Source organism: Homo sapiens, chromosome 1, assembly GCF_000001405.40.
Source record: "Homo sapiens chromosome 1, GRCh38.p14 Primary Assembly".
NCBI classification, from domain to species: domain Eukaryota; kingdom Metazoa; phylum Chordata; class Mammalia; order Primates; family Hominidae; genus Homo; species Homo sapiens.
The window spans coordinates 81,401,080-81,419,118 of NC_000001.11; the positions used below are offsets into that span (position 1 = coordinate 81,401,080).

The window sequence follows — 18,039 nt, forward strand, 5'->3', positions numbered from 1 at the left end:
TAGGATTTGTGGCCACTCTGGGCAGCCAAGGCATAGCTTCCTCGTGTCAGGGCAGTGTTTCAGCTTTGGCACCAGGAAGGTGGTGGCCAACATACTTGCTCTGGGTGGCCATAGTATTGTTTCTCCAGGAGGCAGTACCACTTCAGCTCAGGCACAGAGGGATGAGACTGTTCTGGGATGCCTGGTGCTGCTTCATACCCAGGCAGCAAACTCAGCTGCCTGGAGTTCACACAGGCAGGGGACCCCAGTGTTGAAGACTACAGTTGTCCAAGGTGCTGCTTGGGGCAACCGGGATCCTCTTGCTTACCTGTTCCCTGTAGGGAGAAGTTCCTCCTGGTTCCCAGCTGCGGGAAGATGTGGTGGAGGCCAGGTACTTCCTTCTGTTCTCTATGTGGCCATGCTGAGTTTCTGTGCTCTCCAGGGTCTCTGTAGCTTCTTTCATGTATGCCAGCACTGTCCTTTAGTTATTGTATTAAAATATAGTTTATTTGTTGTTTTGGCTGTCTTTGTTGTGGAGATGAGTGCTAGGAGCTTCTAGTTGACCATCTTGCTCTGTCCTCCTCATTTGGCATGTTTATGAGAGTGCTTGATTTCCAAGAAATTTTTTTCAGCCAGTGAACCTCAGGAAATGTCTTAGTTGTCCCTGAAGTCACTAAGCAGCATCTTTTCCAGATGCCTGTTCGAACTCACTGTGCATTAGGGGGTTATCTGTTACGAGGACTAAAACCCACATAAGTGTGTCCCATTTTTAACTTTTAACTTCAAAATCAAATAAGCCCAAATGTATATATTCTGTTTATATACCTAGAAACATCCTCTCCTTAAAGATAATAACTTGTTCAGCCATAGAGAAGAAAATAATGAGAATAAAGATTTCCCTCTAAAGGATTAAAATTAGTAATTGTTTGTTTGTTTGTTTGTTTGTTTTGCAATTCCAAGAGATGTAAACTAAATGGACATAAATTGGTAAGGAAAGATTTAGCAGATGGCATACTTCCTTTTAAAACAGGTAGCAAATTAGTCTGTCTTCCTTCTTTCTCAAATACCACTAAAATCTAGCCTCTTTACTTGACTAAATGAGAAGATCACTATCTCCCTATACTGTGGGGTCCTGATAGGATCCTTGCTGTTTTTCTTAGCCTAGTGCTCTTACAGACAAACAGACAGCACCATGGCTGGGAAATTGAGGTCAGGAGGGAATATGCCACTCTGCCTGCCAGGCTCCCTAGTATGTTATTTCACCTGCTGGGTACAGAAACTTCTCTCCAGAGTTCAACAGAGAAAGTGCTTCCGTGATTAATCACATACAAGTTCCTGCACCCAGGGTCACTGGGTGATGATTCTTTGATGCACACCAAGAGAATCCACCATATAAAGGTGATGCTACTGCTGCCATCAACCCTCTCGGTATACATTATTCTAACCTATAGGTTCTAACCATAGCCAGCTTGTTTTAATAAGATTTCAGAAAGAGAATCAACTCAAAACTGCTACAACTACTGTGAAAAACAAAACAAAACAAAAATTCCTCCTGAACTTCCTACCCTCCTCTGAAACAAAATAACTCAGGTTTCTCTTAAGTTGACCTTGTTTTTCCTATTGTCTTCCATTTTCTTAGTATTATATTTTGTCCTATTTTCTATTTGAAAAGACCTTGAAACTGCACTGTCCACAGAGCATTCTTGTTCTCACAGCTTCCAACATGCCATGCATGTGCACCAGTCTTTATTCAAGCTCCCACCATCACCCCCAAAGAGCCCCTCAGAAGCCAGAGAGTTTTGTTGATTAATAAGGCAAACATCGACTGTGCAGCTATCTCATTTCATGCTGAACACCATGCTAGGTGCCAGAGATAAAAGAATAAGCAAACTACATATAATTCTTACATTCATGGAGCTTTCAGTATAGTGGAGAAGACACTCACTTTGCAAACAACCTTTTATTAAAATATGTAATAAAAACTGTGACAAGTGTAGAACGGAAAGGTTCACTCAGTTGAGAGAAGGCCTAACCAACAGGTCTTTATCTACTCAGACAAATCTTGGAAGATGTCCTTGATGAGATGACCTTGGTAACAACAATTAATCCCAGAATAGTAACAATAAAAAGAAAAAGGGAGCTATTGGAATGTACGTAACACTTTTCCTTGTTTTTTTTTTGTTGTTGTTTGTTTGTTTGTTTGTTTGTTTTGTTTTTTGTTTTTGAGACAGAGTCTCCCTCTGTTGCCCAGACTGGAGTGCAGCGGCATGATCTCAGCTCGCTGCAACCTCCTCCTCTCGGGCTCAAGAGATTCTCATACCTCAACCTCCAAAGCAGCTGGGCCTACAGGTGAGTACCACCCACTCCCAGCTAAGTTTTGTATTTTTATTAGAGATGGGGTTTCACAATGTTGGCCAGGCTGGTCTCGAACTCCTGACCTCAGGTGATCTGCCCTCCTTGGCCTCCCAAAGTGCTGGGATTACAGCCATGAGTCACCGTGCCTGGCCATAACACTTTTTCTTTAATGAGTGTACCTCTAGGATGGCATATCAAAAGTGGTGTTATAATCAAATAATTCAATAAGTAGGTAATCTTGGAAAAATGGGTTTAAAATTTAGAGATGCCAAAATGCACATTTACATACATTCTGCAGTGTATATGTTTCTATATTTGTACATTTATCTACCACTCTTCCTAGGATGACAGAGAGAGATGGTAGTCAGTAAAGCCAATGTCTTTGATTTTTTTTTTTTTTTTGAGACAGAATCACACTCTATTGTCCAGGCTGGAGTACAGTGGCACAATCTCAGCTCACTGCAAACTCTGCCTCCCAGGTTCAAGTGATTCTCCTGCCTCAGCCTCCCAAGTAGCTGGGACTACAGGTGCGCACCACCACACCCAGCTAATTTTTGTATTTTTAGTAGAGACAGGGTTTTGCCATGGTGGCCAGGTTGGTCTCGATCTCTTGACCTCGTAATCCGTCCACCTCGGCCTCCCAAAGTGCTGGGATTACAGGCGTGAGCCACCTCACCCGGGCGTCTTTGATTTTTATCAGAAGATCTGATTACAGTTTCTTACTTGGTAGTTAAATATTAGTTCACTCTACAGCATGGTGAAGCTGTAACACCGGAATCAGATATACAGCATACCAACCCCCTTGCCGCCATCTACTAGCTGTATGATCTTAGGCAAGGTAATCAACTTTGAAGCCCCGGTTATCTTTACTTTAAAAGGAAAATAATGGTTTGTATCGTAGAAAGTTCCTGTGAAAATTAAATGAGAATATTTTACAGTAAGCCTTTGTATAGCGTTTAGTATGTCCCAGATACTGTTCCAAGAACTTCCAAATATTTAATCAATTTATCTTCATAATAAATCTATGAAGGTTTTTTAATGAGCTTTTAATCACATTTTATATATGAGGACATGGAGGCATAAGGATGCTATTGGGCCAAGGCAAACAATTAGTAAGAGGCAAAGCTCAGCTTCAAACCCAGAACTTAAGCTCTCAGCCACTTCACTCAGAAACTTTGAATAAGTATAAAGCAATGAATAAAATGCTTGATAGGTTGTAAGCATTTTAAAATCTTAATTACTTTCAATATAGTTAACTTTTTAATCCATATTCAGGTGAATAGTCATTTCAAATTTCCTCAGACTAATACATTTCTCCAGGTGGAGATTTAGATCTCTTCTTCCTTTTCCTTCATTTCTTACTCTTCCTCTTCCATCAAAATCATCATTTCTGTCTCTCATGTGCATTCTTATAAATTCCACCTAAAAGATATGTAGCATCTCCTTATCTTTAATTACAATAGAAGAGTACACAAATCAAGATGATTATTAATATTTATAGATTTGTATAATATCTTAATTGACTATAAATATGGCTTTTAGCAAAAATTCTAAAAGCTATGTTGACATTCTAGAATAATTTTTCAGTTATTCCTCAAGAGTGTTGAGGTTCTAATACATAAATTCATCTTTCATTGTCTTCTCCACTTGGAAGTTATTATGTTGACTTATGGAACAGAGTACATATACTGCCCTGAATTTTATGACGGTGCTGTAATAGGCCTTTTTAGGTATATGCAAGTGTAGCATGAGGAATGCCCACTCTGAGGAGCAGCATGCTTTCTTTCACTTTCTCAGGGAAAGTCAATTTTACTGAGATACTATCCCTTATTCAACATCACACACAAAAAATGGGAAGAATGAAGTCTTTTTTGGCACTGGCAATGATTCCGTATTAATTTAGAATTGGATGTACTGCCACATATTCAGAGAACTGAATACCCCCAATGTGATATTGGAAAATACTATTTCAGGCCAGGTGTGGTGGCTCGTGCCTGTAATCCCAATACTTTGGGAGACAAAGGTGGGAGGATTGCGTGAGCCCAGGAGTTCAAGACCAGATCCGGTCTCCATGAATAATTTTAAAAATTAGCCATGGGGGTGTTGCCCACCTGCAGTCTCAGCTACTATGGAGGCTGAGGTGGGAGGATCACCTGAGCCTGGGAGGCAGAGGCTGCAGTGAGTTGTGATTATACCACCGCACTCCAGCCTGAATGACAAAAAAAAAAAAAAGGAAATAAAAAGAAAAATACTATTTCATATATTGAACAAAATATCTCACATTTTCAAAATAATAATAGGGATTATTTTCATAAGGCCTCTTATTTTCCAACAAGTTTAAAATCAGTTGAACAGTCTCCACACCTCCCCCAAAAAAGTCATTATGCAATCATAAATATGACATGTAAAGGAATTGTTTTTATACATAATGCCTATATATTCTTTAAAAGGAATATTTCATTTCCTTTTAAAATCCAATAAAGTGTTATCTCCTCATAAAAAGTTATATAATTTTAGTCCTCTTGAAAAAGATTATAATTAATCTGAGGTTTCAGGCACATACTTAATCTATTAGTAGAAAGATTTCCCATCTTTACTGTAATTATCTTGAAAAAGTTTGAGAAGAGACTTTGAAAAATCTTTAAGCATACATTAAAGTATTTTGAATATTGCTCTCTTTACTGAGATCAGAACAAGAGGAGGTACACTCTTAGCTGCAGTATGAAAGATTTAGGCTAAAAAGAGAAATGGCCTCCAGTAAAGTTTTTACATCATGAAATTTTTTTTTATCAGTGCAAATCACAGACCCTCTGTGTTAAGGGCTTCACAATAGAATTTTCACCTTTCAAATACAATTTAGGTTTAACACTGCTTTGAGATAAGGCGTGAACTGAGTGACATCTTAGTTTCGTTTGATCCTTCACCTTGAAGGACAGACTACACGGGACCATAATGGCACAAATCTTGAGTGAAGAAGTGAAACCAATTTTGCTAAAACATCTGAAATATACTCTTCCTAAATAGTAACATCTGGTGGTACAGAACGTCCCAAGGAGTCTTTGTTCCCAGGAGATTTCTCAACCCAGTTTTTTGCCACCCAAGAGGCTTAGGTAATACAGCTAGGGTCAGAGAAACGCAGCCATCCATCCAGCCTCTGGGCTGTTCTTTAAATAAAATTGCTTCCCTAACTCTCTTCACTCTCAAGTTTTGAATACAATGCAGTTTCAACCATTGCTATTGATATTTTTCTGTTAATTAAAAACAACAAATGACATTGTTGTCTGAGAGGAGTTATCCTCTCAGTAGTAGATGCCACGAGAGCCTGGAAGTCACAGACTTTGGGGAAAGCACAACTCTGCTCCCCAATCAGCAACATCTGCGATATGAAAAGGGGACTCTGGAGGTTAAAACCAATTTGAGCTTGTCAGTCTCTAGGCAAATGCTGCAGAATCCTCAGGAACAGCTTGTGACGAGGGAGTGTTGAATGGAAATAAGCTCAATCAGCCTTCTGGTTTGGATCATTGAGAATACTGGTGTTTTAATTTTTTTATTTATTTGTTATTGTTCTGTTTCATTTTGTTTTGAGTTACATTTGGGTTGAGCTCCTTATTCCTCGTCTGGTGTCTCTGGAAGAAATGTGTATTTCTGTGAGATATATTTCCTCCCGTCTCCAGAAATCTTCATGGAAGAGAAGTTCATTGCTACCATCTGTACTTGGTTTAGAAGAGCTTTGATTAATAAGGACCACCCTATTGTTCATTTGTTTGACATGTGGAGATATTTGTAATCTGTTTCTGGCGAGAGAGATTTCAGCAAGGATCTGGTTTGACTTTCAAACCCCCATTGCCAATGAAAACCAGCCTCCTGGATCCGGAGGTCAGTGGGGGAACAAGCAAAGGTGTTTTATTCTCCCTTCACCCCCTCCCGCAAACACCAACACCTGTTACAAGTGAGGTTAAAAAGATCCTGTTGGAACTCTGAGACAGAGACCCAATTCCATCCTGAAAGAGGCTCTGATGTATGGTGTATAATGAAAGCTGGAGACTGCCCACTGTTACACATCATTATCATTCAGATCATGAAAGAAAATGAAATGGTTCAAGCAGATAACAGCTGTTTTTATTCTGCTTTTCAAGGATTCTCTTAAACAATGATTCTCTTAAACCTGATCTCATGGCTTTTATTTAAGGGTGAACACCCAATTGTAAACATAGGAGAGATGCATTCTCATGATGTCAGTAATAAAAGCATGTATAAAGCAGCATGTGTATTCTGGAAAGCTAACTAACCATTAAAGCCAAGAAACATAATCTGGCACAAATCTGATTATGTGTCCAAGAGGACTTGATGGTATGCACATAAGAAAATGTAATGAAATAGGGGAAGGAGAAAAGAAGGGAGAGGGAGGAGCCAGAGGGTTGAAGGGGGGCTGTTTCATGTTTGTGACATGTTAGCAAAATCAGAAAAAGGTAGAGTTGCCAAGATCATCTGAGAAAGGGGTTAGCACAGCAAGCAGAAATGTAAGCAATTTTGTTTGTTTGTTTCACTATCTGTTGTATTACAGGCTCACCTCATTGCATTTTTATCTGTTAGTTATAGACAATGAGGTTGTTACACAAGACACACACAGGAAAAAGGAAGAGGCCCTGTCTTTCTTTAATCAGGAGTTCAGATCTCATTTGTTACGATGTACATCTATTGTGTTTGTAATTGCTGTGATCATTATCATAAGCATTAGGGATAGCTTGCTTGAGGAATTCAGGACCACACATTGCTCATCAATGTGATGGAGTAAACCTTATACAAGCTAATCTAATAGATATTTGTTGTAATTTTTCATTTTGTGAAATTACAGCAAAAACATAAGCAATCTCTCCTAGATGCACTGTAACACAGAATGCTCATTTTTTTTAAATTTCTTCCTATTTCTTCTCATAGTAGGTAGCATCCTTTATTAAATGGGTCATTGTATTAATTAAAGTAAATATAAACCATTCCTCACTGTACTTGATAAAAGTTTTTGTGTCTGAGGAAAATACTTGTGTGTATATGCATATAAAGTTTACACCTAACATTAGCGTACAAACCACATTAATTAAGATGAGTTCAACAAGCAGTTTAAAACTGGGAATCTGCTGTTCGCGTGCCTAGACTTGTACTTAGAAAAAATAGAAGGCATAAAAATGTCAGCTCCATAGATTTGCTGCTGAAAGACCCTTGTTCACTCGTGCATAAAATATAACTGCCCCCAAGGGTGTGCACGTTTACAAACGCAAATTAATCTTTACCTGCCCAATGCACAAACTATAATGGATTTCAGAACTGAACAATGTAAACTAAATATGAGATCATTTTTGATATCTCTGCTAAAGAAAACCATAATGCATGGTTTGGGATCCTAAATTATAGCTGGATTTTCTGCTCTTAAGCGTTCATTAGTTTACATGGGAGGGGCCAAAGAAATAAAGCAGCAACAGTTTGTACCAATGTATGACTTTCTATTTCTTTGGATCAAATAGGAAGAGATGTGTGGACTTAAACTGTTTTCAAATGTTCTCTCCAGTTCTGTTAGAAGCAATGTTCAGACTCAACTGCCAAAATTTTTCTTCAGTGTGAAAAATGCTGATTCCATAGGCTTGTGTTAAAATATAGCACACACACACCTAATAATCTAATGTCTTATCTATTGTTAGGTATGACTGTGTTAGCTTTCCATGTTGTGAATTATCTGGATTACAAACCCCTGTTCTTTTTCTTTCCTTCTCAGTATCTGTGTAGTGATAATTTTCCTGCTCACTGGTGCATCCGCTACTAAAATATAAGCAAAAATAAAAGGAGAATATAAAGGAGACACCTCCTACCTCTGGAAGGAACACAAAAAACACACATTTGTACCAGTTAGCAGCCCTAAATATCTGTTGAATAAATGGTTTTAAACAGTTCACTGAAATACATATTTTGAATCTGCAAATATGTCCTGGAACACAGAAGCTGTGTGGGTTAGGCAGCTACAGTATAGCTCTAAAATTCAGAGGATACCTTCTATTTTTGGCACAGAAGATAGTCACATGGCTATGAAACATGAATTTGGATGCCAAATGAATAACAAGCTTGGAGGCTGAGCTCCCAGTGACTTCAAACATCTGTGAAGTGAAAATATTCCTGTACCAAGGTGTGCTACTGTATTGAAAACAATTACTGTTACTGATCATTTTCTTGCTTTAAATAAAGTACATCTCTTCTCATGGGAGCAGGTGTAAGGGTGACTTTGTGAATCTCCATTAGTCAAATCACAAATGGACACCCTCCCCTATTCTTGTAAATCCATGCAAACAAAATTACAACTTTTTAACATCTCAAAAGAAGAAGTGTGCAATTTGTTAGCAAGAAAGGATAAATTTCACCTTCCCACTTCTGCAGGATTCATAGTAATCCAAAATCAAGAGAGCACAGACACTTTGAAAATCTGCCCTTTTAGCCCCTGCCTTTGGTATATTAATGACTACAAGATGTTGGATGCATATTTGAGCAGTAAGAAGAACCTGCTTCCCAAAGGGAAAAAGAAACTGGGAACAGACCCAGAGAAACAATAAGTTAGTGGACAGGTCTAAGAAACTCTGAATATCAGCACGTTCCAAAGCTTAGTAACAAAGCTTAGACTGTCACGTGATCTTTACATGAAAGTCAGCCCAAACCCTTTCTATTATTATGACATCTAGAGCATGACTTATTTTTCATAAACAGATATTTTTCTTACATTGGGATTTATTATACGATGCTTCAATTAGCATTCTGCCATTCTTTTTTGTCATAGTCATACAATGATTTGCTATCTACCTTTAAAAAGTAAAGAGTTAACAGAGAAGGGAAATTTGTATTAGGTCCTGCATTGAATTTAGGTTCTTCTTTAAAGGATGCAGTAGAACAAAAATGTCCTTCTTTCAAAATGCTTATTTTGGATTTGAAGAGCATTCTCACCCAGGTACCATTCTTTCCTTCTTTTACTTTTCTTCCAATTGTCTTACCTTTCCTCCACACATCCGTGATGCAGATTAGCACTGGCCTCCAAGCCCCAGGCATCAAAGGAATTAGGTCAGACCAGAAGAAATCAGGTTGCAGGCAAGAAAAGAATTTTAATAACATAGAAGCTATGCCAGCCTGGAGCTCCTGTACTCCTTCAGGCAGACTGACAAGCCCTGGCCTTAGCTGTAACAGTATTAGGTAATTGATATGTGGGAGAAAAGCAGAGATGTTTGAGAGAACAAAGATTTGTATAGTATTAGCACATGATATGTTGAATTTATTTAAAGCCAATCTGTACATAGAGCTCTGATGGGTTCGGTGCTCAGCCCTAAAACAATTGCAATTAAAAATAATTCCAGGAAAAGAGAAAAGCTCTAGTGCAATATCTGTTTGCTATAAATTATGAGTTTTTAAAAGTCACTTTGTATGTGTATTCCATCTGAGATTAGTGGTCTTTTAAAGCGTATATTAAGTGTACACAGAAAATTAATTTTATGTTAGCATGTTTAATGCTTACTCACTCAAACAGCATATTATCTTCCTGTATTTTAAGGACAAAAAATAGAAAGAGATTGTATCGGAAAATGTCTATACTTAGTTCCTTCTCCAGATGACCATTTTAGTTGCCACTATTACTGGCTCCAAAATGATTGGAGGAGTAATTCAAATTCAACCTATCACATTATCCAAGGGCATTCTATGAATAGCTGCAACCCAGAGCAAGTTCTGGCAAAGATGCAAAGGCAGCGTATGAAAGTCAGCAATAACATTCAGGAGTGTTTTCCAGAGTTGGCGAATGCAGATGAGAATATTTATATGTCATCTCTCAAACTATAGAAAGTATTTTGGGAAAGATATTTTTCACAAGCCTTAGATTAGCCATTATAACAATTTAAAGGAGGTTTTTTCTTTATTGGATGATGAAACAAACCTTTGGGTGATGCCAGTCACATTCACACATCATCCCATTTAATCCTTCCAGCAGCCCCATGAGGGAGATATTGGTGTCGTTAGCATCTGCATTTGTGATGAGAAACTGAGGCACAGGCATTAAGCAACTTGCTAATGACCTCAAAGTTAGAAGGTAGCAAAGACAGAATTTGAACTCAGGAATCTGAGTGAATTTCTAGAGGTTTTCCTCACTACTGGAAATAGTTTTAAAGTTTTAAGAAAGGGCCAGGAGCGGTGGCTCACGCCTGTAATCCCAGCACTTTGGGAGGCTGAGGTGGGCGGATCACAAGGTCAGGAGATCGAGACCACGGTGAAACCCCATCTCTACTAGAAATACAAACAATTAGCTGGGCACAGTGGCGGGCGCCTGTAGTCCCAGCTACTCGGGAAGCTGAGGCAGGAGAATGGCGTGAACCCGGGAGGAGGAGCTTGCAGTGAGCTGAGATCGCGCCACTGCACTCCAGCCTGGGCAACAAAGCGAGACTCCGTCTTAAAAAAAAAAAAAAAAAAGTTTTAAGAAAGGTGAATCCTCTTTGGTTTGGTTTCTGAATGTAGTAAGTCTCAGATTCTGATAGCTCTTAGACATCTCTTCAAAAAGGATCATCAGTAAGATCATTTTAACCAAGGGAAAAATACTATCCTACTTAATATGTATTGAGAAATTATTTCTACCAAATATACATAAGTTTTTCATGCATAAATTCACATAATACTCACTATAAGATATACAGTTACTATCCCCGGTTGAAGAAAGGGAAACTGATGCAGAGAAAAGTTGAGTAATTTCCCTTAGGTTAACAGGTAGACAGAATAAGAGCCAGGATTCAAGCCCAGGAAATCTGGTTCCAAAGGCAGTGCATGTAACCACCAAGCTTTATTGCCTCCACAAGTCATTATTAATTGAATCATTATATCATGTTATGTTTTAAGGAGTGGAGTTTTGTTAAATGATTTTGTGAATATAAATGAATACCAATAATTAAGGACACACTGCATATACCATGCTTTTTGTCTAGAATTATCTTTCCTCTTCACCATCTTCTCTTACAGTTCAACTTTAATGTTAGCTTCCCCAGATCCACCTCTCTAACTTAGAAGCCTTTCTATCTTCATAGTGTAGTGCTATCATGTCATGTATCACATAGTGTAGTAATGATATATTTAACTTTCTCTCCACTTGGACTCTAAGCTCGCTGGGGGAAGAGACTCCATCTTCTATGTCTTTCTATCACTAGTAATATTACTTGTTATGTAGCAGCCACCTAAAACACGTTGGATTTACAAGAGGATGAAAGAAGAAAATAATTGATAAATACTTGGTTGCAATAGATGGATAATTGGGTGAAGGATGTATAGATTTATTGATGGATGAATACATGGATGGATGGAAATATAAAAGAATAAGTGACATACACATAGGAAACATATGAGTCAGTCCAATGTGTGTGCCAGTTTTAAATAGACAGAGCTTCCTGGGTGTATTTCTAAAAAGAGGAACTTTGAAAAAAAATTCAGTCATTTTTCTACCTTATCTTTAATTACTATTCTTTTTTCTATTGTTTTATTTTAATGGCCATTAATGATGACTCAGTCAGCTGGTGATAAATTTGTTCTTGGATGTTTTCTCTACTTTTTTGTTATGCATATATCAAAGTTTTTGGCTTGATTTCACTCCTCTTAAGTAAAGGGGACTTTTATTCCTCTAATTACCTTCGAATTACCAGGAATGCACTGCATTCCTGACTCCCTGGATGTAGCCCTCCACCCACCTCAGCCGTTTGCCTATCAGGCGCTACTTGAAGGTTTGGCTTCTAGAACCCCTGCTAGATTTAGCAATGAAAGCAGCATAAATTCCTAAGCCTACCGTCAAGTGTGAATCCTCTACTTCAGAACAGATATATCATCCTGGCCCCAAAAAGAAACAGACCAAATAATATTTCCAATATTGTAATAAATTCATCCACTCCAAGTATTGTGTTGTATTTACTCACCAGGCAGAGCAGGAAAAAAAATGTTTTTGTCATTAATAACCAAAGTATCGTAAGAAAACATTAATTTCACTTAAAAAAAAAAGACATGGAAACTGTAGGCTACCATTACGGATGCCCTTATGATATAGCTTATAAATACAATATTCTATTAAGAATGTAATTGCTAGAGACATTGCTCCATGAAAGATGTGAGGTTGTTTACAAGAAAAAAATGTCATGTCCTCGTTCGAGAGTTGTTTTGGATGACTACTTATCAGGGTTTAAAAATATAAAGGCAAATAAAGATTGGTCTTTCTACTTGAGGTCAGTAGTTCACTGATTTTTGTCAAGAAAAAGAGTTTATTAGATTTCCTTTTACACTATCAGACAGCTTCTCATTTTTTATGTGATAGACTATGTAATTGTTTTTCACAGTGGTATGTTATCTATCTCTGTATATACACACATACACATACACATATATATTTACCCTCTGACACTGCATTTACTGTGGAAGTGTACCAAAAATCTATTTAAGATGCAAACATCAAAGAGGAAGGGGAAAAGGAGTCCTATTGCCACTCTGTGTAGATATCTGTGAAAGTCGCCTAAAGACCAATTGATCAAATACAAAAATCATCACAACTGCTAAAGGCTGCCAACATAATCATTTAAAGCAATGCAAAAGTAGATGCTGAAAAACGTGGGTTACCAAAGCATTCTTTACCTCTGGCTCCCCACTCTGTGCTGTATCATATTCTTGCAAGTCTCATTGGGATGCTTGGTAAACACACTTCACCTTTCTTTCTTCAGTTTCAGGGTAGAAAGGGTCCCTTTAACTCCTGAAGACAGTAAATCACAGTCTGTGTGGTGGTTCTCAGAAGACACTTAAAGGACTGAACTGGATGCTCTACATAGCACCCTTGCCAAAAGGGTTCGGAAATGACTTCCAGCTTCCCACAGTAATAAAATGGCACTGTTTGGCATCTTCGAGGTAATAAAAGTGAATTTTTTCCATTCTAGTAAATGAGAAGAGAGGCCTGGTTGTTTTAAAAACTGATTTAAATTCGTGTGTTTTCCTCACATTATAGAGCGTGATATGAGCACACTTAGGTGAACTTCAGACCATCTCAGAACATTACTATCAGCAGCTCTCTGGGGCAGAACAGGATGTGCTGGTGGGTGGTGCAAGGGAGGCTGGAAGGATGGCCAGGTGCCCTGGACACTGCCGCCGTGATACGATAGGTGGCGCTCTCCCCTCTGAGTCCATGTGAACGATCTCCGAACGTGCTCTTTGGAGGATATTACTTTGCTTGAAGGAAATGTCTTGGACGTTCATCAGTGTTTCTGGCACTGTTTAACAGCTGCTGAGTCTCATAGCAGACTCTGGCTGTATTTTGGTGATGGGAAAAGCTTTAGAAAACAGATTTCCTGTCTTTAAGGAGGAGGCTTATGTTAGGCATTATTGTCATTTGTATACAAGACTTTTTATAATTCGATTTCACTCTCCTCCCAGTTGCAAAGGAAAATCTTTTGTCATTCCTGTTTGACTCATAGGGTCTAGGAAGAAGTTTGATCATCTTCCGTTTCCCATCTGGTTATTCATAAGACACCTGCATCTCTGTGATTTCTCCTAGACTACACAATGCTACCAACTGACAACAGACGTTGTGTAAAGAAAGGCCACCTTTCAGAAAAGGAACCTGAACATTAAAAGCTTGTCAACCAAACACAAGGGATATAGCTTTTATTCCTTATTTCAACTGCACCAGAAGTGGAAATTATAACTCTTTTAAGCAGAAAAGACAAGATTGACACTTTTTACATAGAATCCAACCCACATTTGTCTTTGTTTATATGTTGCAATTAAAAGGCTATTATAAACAAATTAGTAGTATCACGGAAGAATTTTGAATGACTTGCTGATGTCAACTACTGCCAAATACCCTTATCTACTCACCACATTCTTAATTAAGAAACACCAGTGTGTGTGTGTCTTTGTTAAAATTACTCAATAGTGGCCTCAGTAGTTACAGACTAGTCCATTAATTTATTAAAGAAGTTCAAAAGATTATTACAAAAGAAGCAGGATGTAGACACACCCAGTTTAATAATAGTGGGGAAGAGAGGGGTCCCTAAAAAAAGATACGATAAGAGGAAAGGGAGATACCACTGCAGTTCATAATGATGGTTGGTAAAGAGTTGAGTACATGCTTTTAAGTTTGGACAGCTCGGTTCAACAAAGTAAGAATTAGCTGTAAATGCTAATGTCTTTGGCTTACAAATACTCCCTGCGAGTATGACCCAAATCAGAGCATCTGACTTCAGTGGGTGACCATCTGCGATAAAAAGGAGAATGTTTCCTTCTGGGCTAGTCCTGAAATACTAATAGAGGCAGCATTCCTGCACATACTAGGAAATCAATAAACACCTGCTGAATGGATGAATACATGAATAAACATTTGAAGAACAGTATCTCCTTTTCCTTTTTTTTTTTTTTTGAGACGGAGTCTTGCTCTGTCGCCCAGGCTGGAGTACAGTGGTGCGATCTCAGCTCACTGCAAGCTCGGCCTCCCGGGTTCATGCCATTCTCCTGCCTCAGCCTCCCGAGTAGCTGGGACTACAGGCGCCCGCCACCATGCCAGGCTAATTTTTTGTATTTTTAGTAGAGACCTTTAGTAACAGGGTTTCACCATGTTAGCCAGGATGGTCTCGATCTTGTGACCTCACGATCCGCCCACCTCGGCCTCCCAAAGTGCTGGGATTACAGGCGTGAGCCACTGTGCCTGGCCGGTCTCCTTTTCCTTATTGCTAAAACAGAAGTAATGTTACTTTCAGCAAATTTGTAAGGGTGAAAACAGTTACATTCTTGATCTTTAAAGTGCAATATATTTATCCCCCATATTTCTTTTTTTAAATATAGAAACTGTACTGTATATACCCTGAACAACCTTCTTGCAAAAAAAAAAAGAAAAGAAAAGAAAAGAAAAAACACAAAATTTAATGGCCAGCACATTCATCTCTACCTCTTACATTAACAGAGACTTGCTAAAGAGTTTTTATGGTTATACTTCAGCTTGTTCCCTGCGTGCTACCTCCTCTGTAACTTGACTTTAAATTATCTGTTTATCTTCTCATATTCCAAATATTATTGAATACATGTAGTAGATTAAATAATCAGTTTCCTTTGAATATCTTTAGCTGTGATTTCCTATTTTAACGTTCACATTTTGCATCCAAATGGTATTTGTCTTCATATAATTGATAAAATTCCATTTATTCATTCATCTAACATATATATTGGTTGAATGTCTATCATGTATAAGATAACCTACTAAATGTAGAAATTCACCAGAAAATACTCAACTTCTCTTCATTCCACAAATTCAGAGTTCCCTAATACTACGGGTTTACTTTAATTTGGTCAGTGGTGCCAAGTAGTCATATAGGTGAAATAGTTCCTTTAGAAGAGTGGTACTGAAAGTTGTCCATTCTTAAGAAGCATCTTTGATTATGTATGTAGTAAAACAGGTTCTGAAATTAATTATCTTAGAATTGGGCTCAGTAGACCTGGCATAGATCCCAAGAATTTACAGCATTTCTAACAAGTTTCCCAGGTAATTCTCAGGCACGTAGTTCTCAGAACGTGCTTAAGAATTACTGCCTTAAAATTTAAAGAAAATTTTATTTTCATGCCATGCTATATTCTATGTACAAAAAGCATCTTCCTTTACTTTATTATTTTTCTATAAAATACAATTTAAATTTTCCCGAATTACATTTTATAATTACAACAAAATCTGTTGCGACCCATGCAGACTACTATACAATTCTTTATCCCTTTAAATGGAGTAGAAATAAATGAAGAATGCTAAACATGATTTCTTTAAAAACTCACATTTTAATCATAAGAAAAATACTTTAATTGCTATTATGTGACTCCTAATTGGTAAATCATTATAATGATAATTTATAATTTTGGTTCATTAACTTTACAAAATATTATTCAAAAGTTCCTGCAAGGTGCTTTTTCTTTAATACTTTATTTTATAATTTTTCCTTCAAAATATTTTATTAGATCACAATGAGTTTTTCATGATTTTAGAGAATAGTAAGATAAGTGATGTTTTCCTTCTTATATTAGTAATACTTTACTTCTACCTTTTTGGAATGGATTATTTCTCTGTACAAGTCCTTTCAGCAATATGGCACCATGTCATAGGTGGTGAACACAGTGACATTATTTAAGGTCAGGGTACAGAGAAAATATATTACTAGGCTCTACTTGTTGTATTAGGGTCCACCTTTCTTTCACAGAAACATTGGCTTGTTATTTCATAATTTCAGTTCGAAACTTGGTTTTCTTGCTTCTAAGGTTGGTAGGTCATTTCTTTAACAAGATTTGATATATTTCTAATCTTTTCTAATTTGAATATTATCATAGTGTGATCTGGTGATTTTTAAAAAATATGTCAGTAGTGCCCAAGCTGCATTAGGAGATTTCAGCTGATATTAAATTAACCCCAACCACCACCTCCAGTCAAATGTGGCACCCATGCATGACAATATCACACCCACTTTTACTATATTTCTTCTTTTTTTAAAAAAATGTATTTTAAGGGGCTCACTTGAAAATAACTCATAATGACAGGCAATTGTGAAATGTTCAGTTTCATTGAGTGCTCTAACCACATTCACCTGAATAACCCAGCTCTCTAAAGGCTGAAATCTATTCTAGCTAATTTGAATACATAGTGTCCAATGGTAACTACCAATGTATGCTAGGTCTCATCAAAATGGAATGAACCAGAATATCTGCACACTCAAAACAAACAAACAAAAAGGAATAGATGTTTATTTTTAAAGTTTTAAAAGGCTAAAAAAATCGCAACACTATTTTAAAATATACACACTTCCACATGATAATATGCCCTTGAGCCTGGAAATCATTATAATAAAATTTTGTGGCAAAAACCCTCCACTTTTCTGTGGTGGCATTTCTGCCATGTTTCCAATTAGAACTCCTATAAATTTTGAAATTGAACAAACAGGAAAATAGAAATCTCACCTATCTGTATTCAGACCTAAAAAATGAATTTAAATAAGATTCCAGGCCGAGTGTGGTGGCTCACGCCTGTAATCCCAGCACTTTGGGAGGCCGAGGCAGGCAGATCACGAGGTCAGGAAATCAAAACCATCCTGGCTAACACGGTGAAACCCCGTCTCTACTAAAAATACAAAAAAAAAATACCCAGGCGTGGTGGCAGGCGCCTGCAGTCCCAGCTACTCGGGAGGCTGAGGCAGGAGAATGGCATGAACCCAGGAGGCAGTACTTGCAGTGAGCTGAAATCGGGCCTCTGCACTCCAGCCTGGACGACAGAGTGAGACTCCATCTCAAAAACAAAAACAAACAAATAAGATTCCAAATCAAACTTTCTAACTTGCTGAGGTTGATACATTAATATCTGATTTCCAATATGTAGCGATTTAACTAACCAAATCCATGTTAAAATAGAATCTATACTTTGATCATTCCTTTTAAAATGAAATCATGATTATTTTGACACAATTCTCTATACTGAGGTATCCATTTCCTCACTGGAGTTCAGAGAGATGCTACAAAGTTGAAAGGGTTTTTCCACAAATGATGAGGAGGCTAAGAATCCAGGAATGCAATGCACTAGACTGGTTGCAGACCAAGCAGCAGAACTAAAGCTCAAAAGTAGGTGAAGGAACTTTCTATCAATAACTGGCAAAAATA

General features: G+C 37.7%; 1 protein-coding gene across 8 annotated transcripts in view, besides 1 other annotated feature; it reads left to right on the plus strand.

Moving 5' to 3' along the window:
- ADGRL2 (adhesion G protein-coupled receptor L2) overlaps window positions 1-18,039 on the plus strand; it is a 687,801-nt gene that overhangs the window by 94,948 nt on the left and 574,814 nt on the right. For 5 of the 8 annotated variants that reach the window (XM_047416152.1, XM_047416118.1, XM_047416159.1 and 2 more), the window contains one exon: window positions 13,092-13,272. The exons of the other annotated variants lie outside the window; for them this stretch is intronic. The gene's annotated coding sequence lies outside the window, so the exon portion shown is untranslated. The remainder of the gene's footprint in view (window positions 1-13,091; window positions 13,273-18,039) is intronic. 8 annotated transcript variants of the gene reach the window in all.
- Window positions 13,405-13,699: an enhancer, noted in NCBI's record as "tiled region #14351; K562 Activating non-DNase unmatched - State 13:Ctcf". NCBI's record gives its function as "activates a minimal TATA promoter and a strong SV40 promoter by Sharpr-MPRA in K562 cells {active_cell/tissue: K562}" and the evidence as "EXISTENCE:reporter gene assay evidence [ECO:0000049][PMID:27701403]".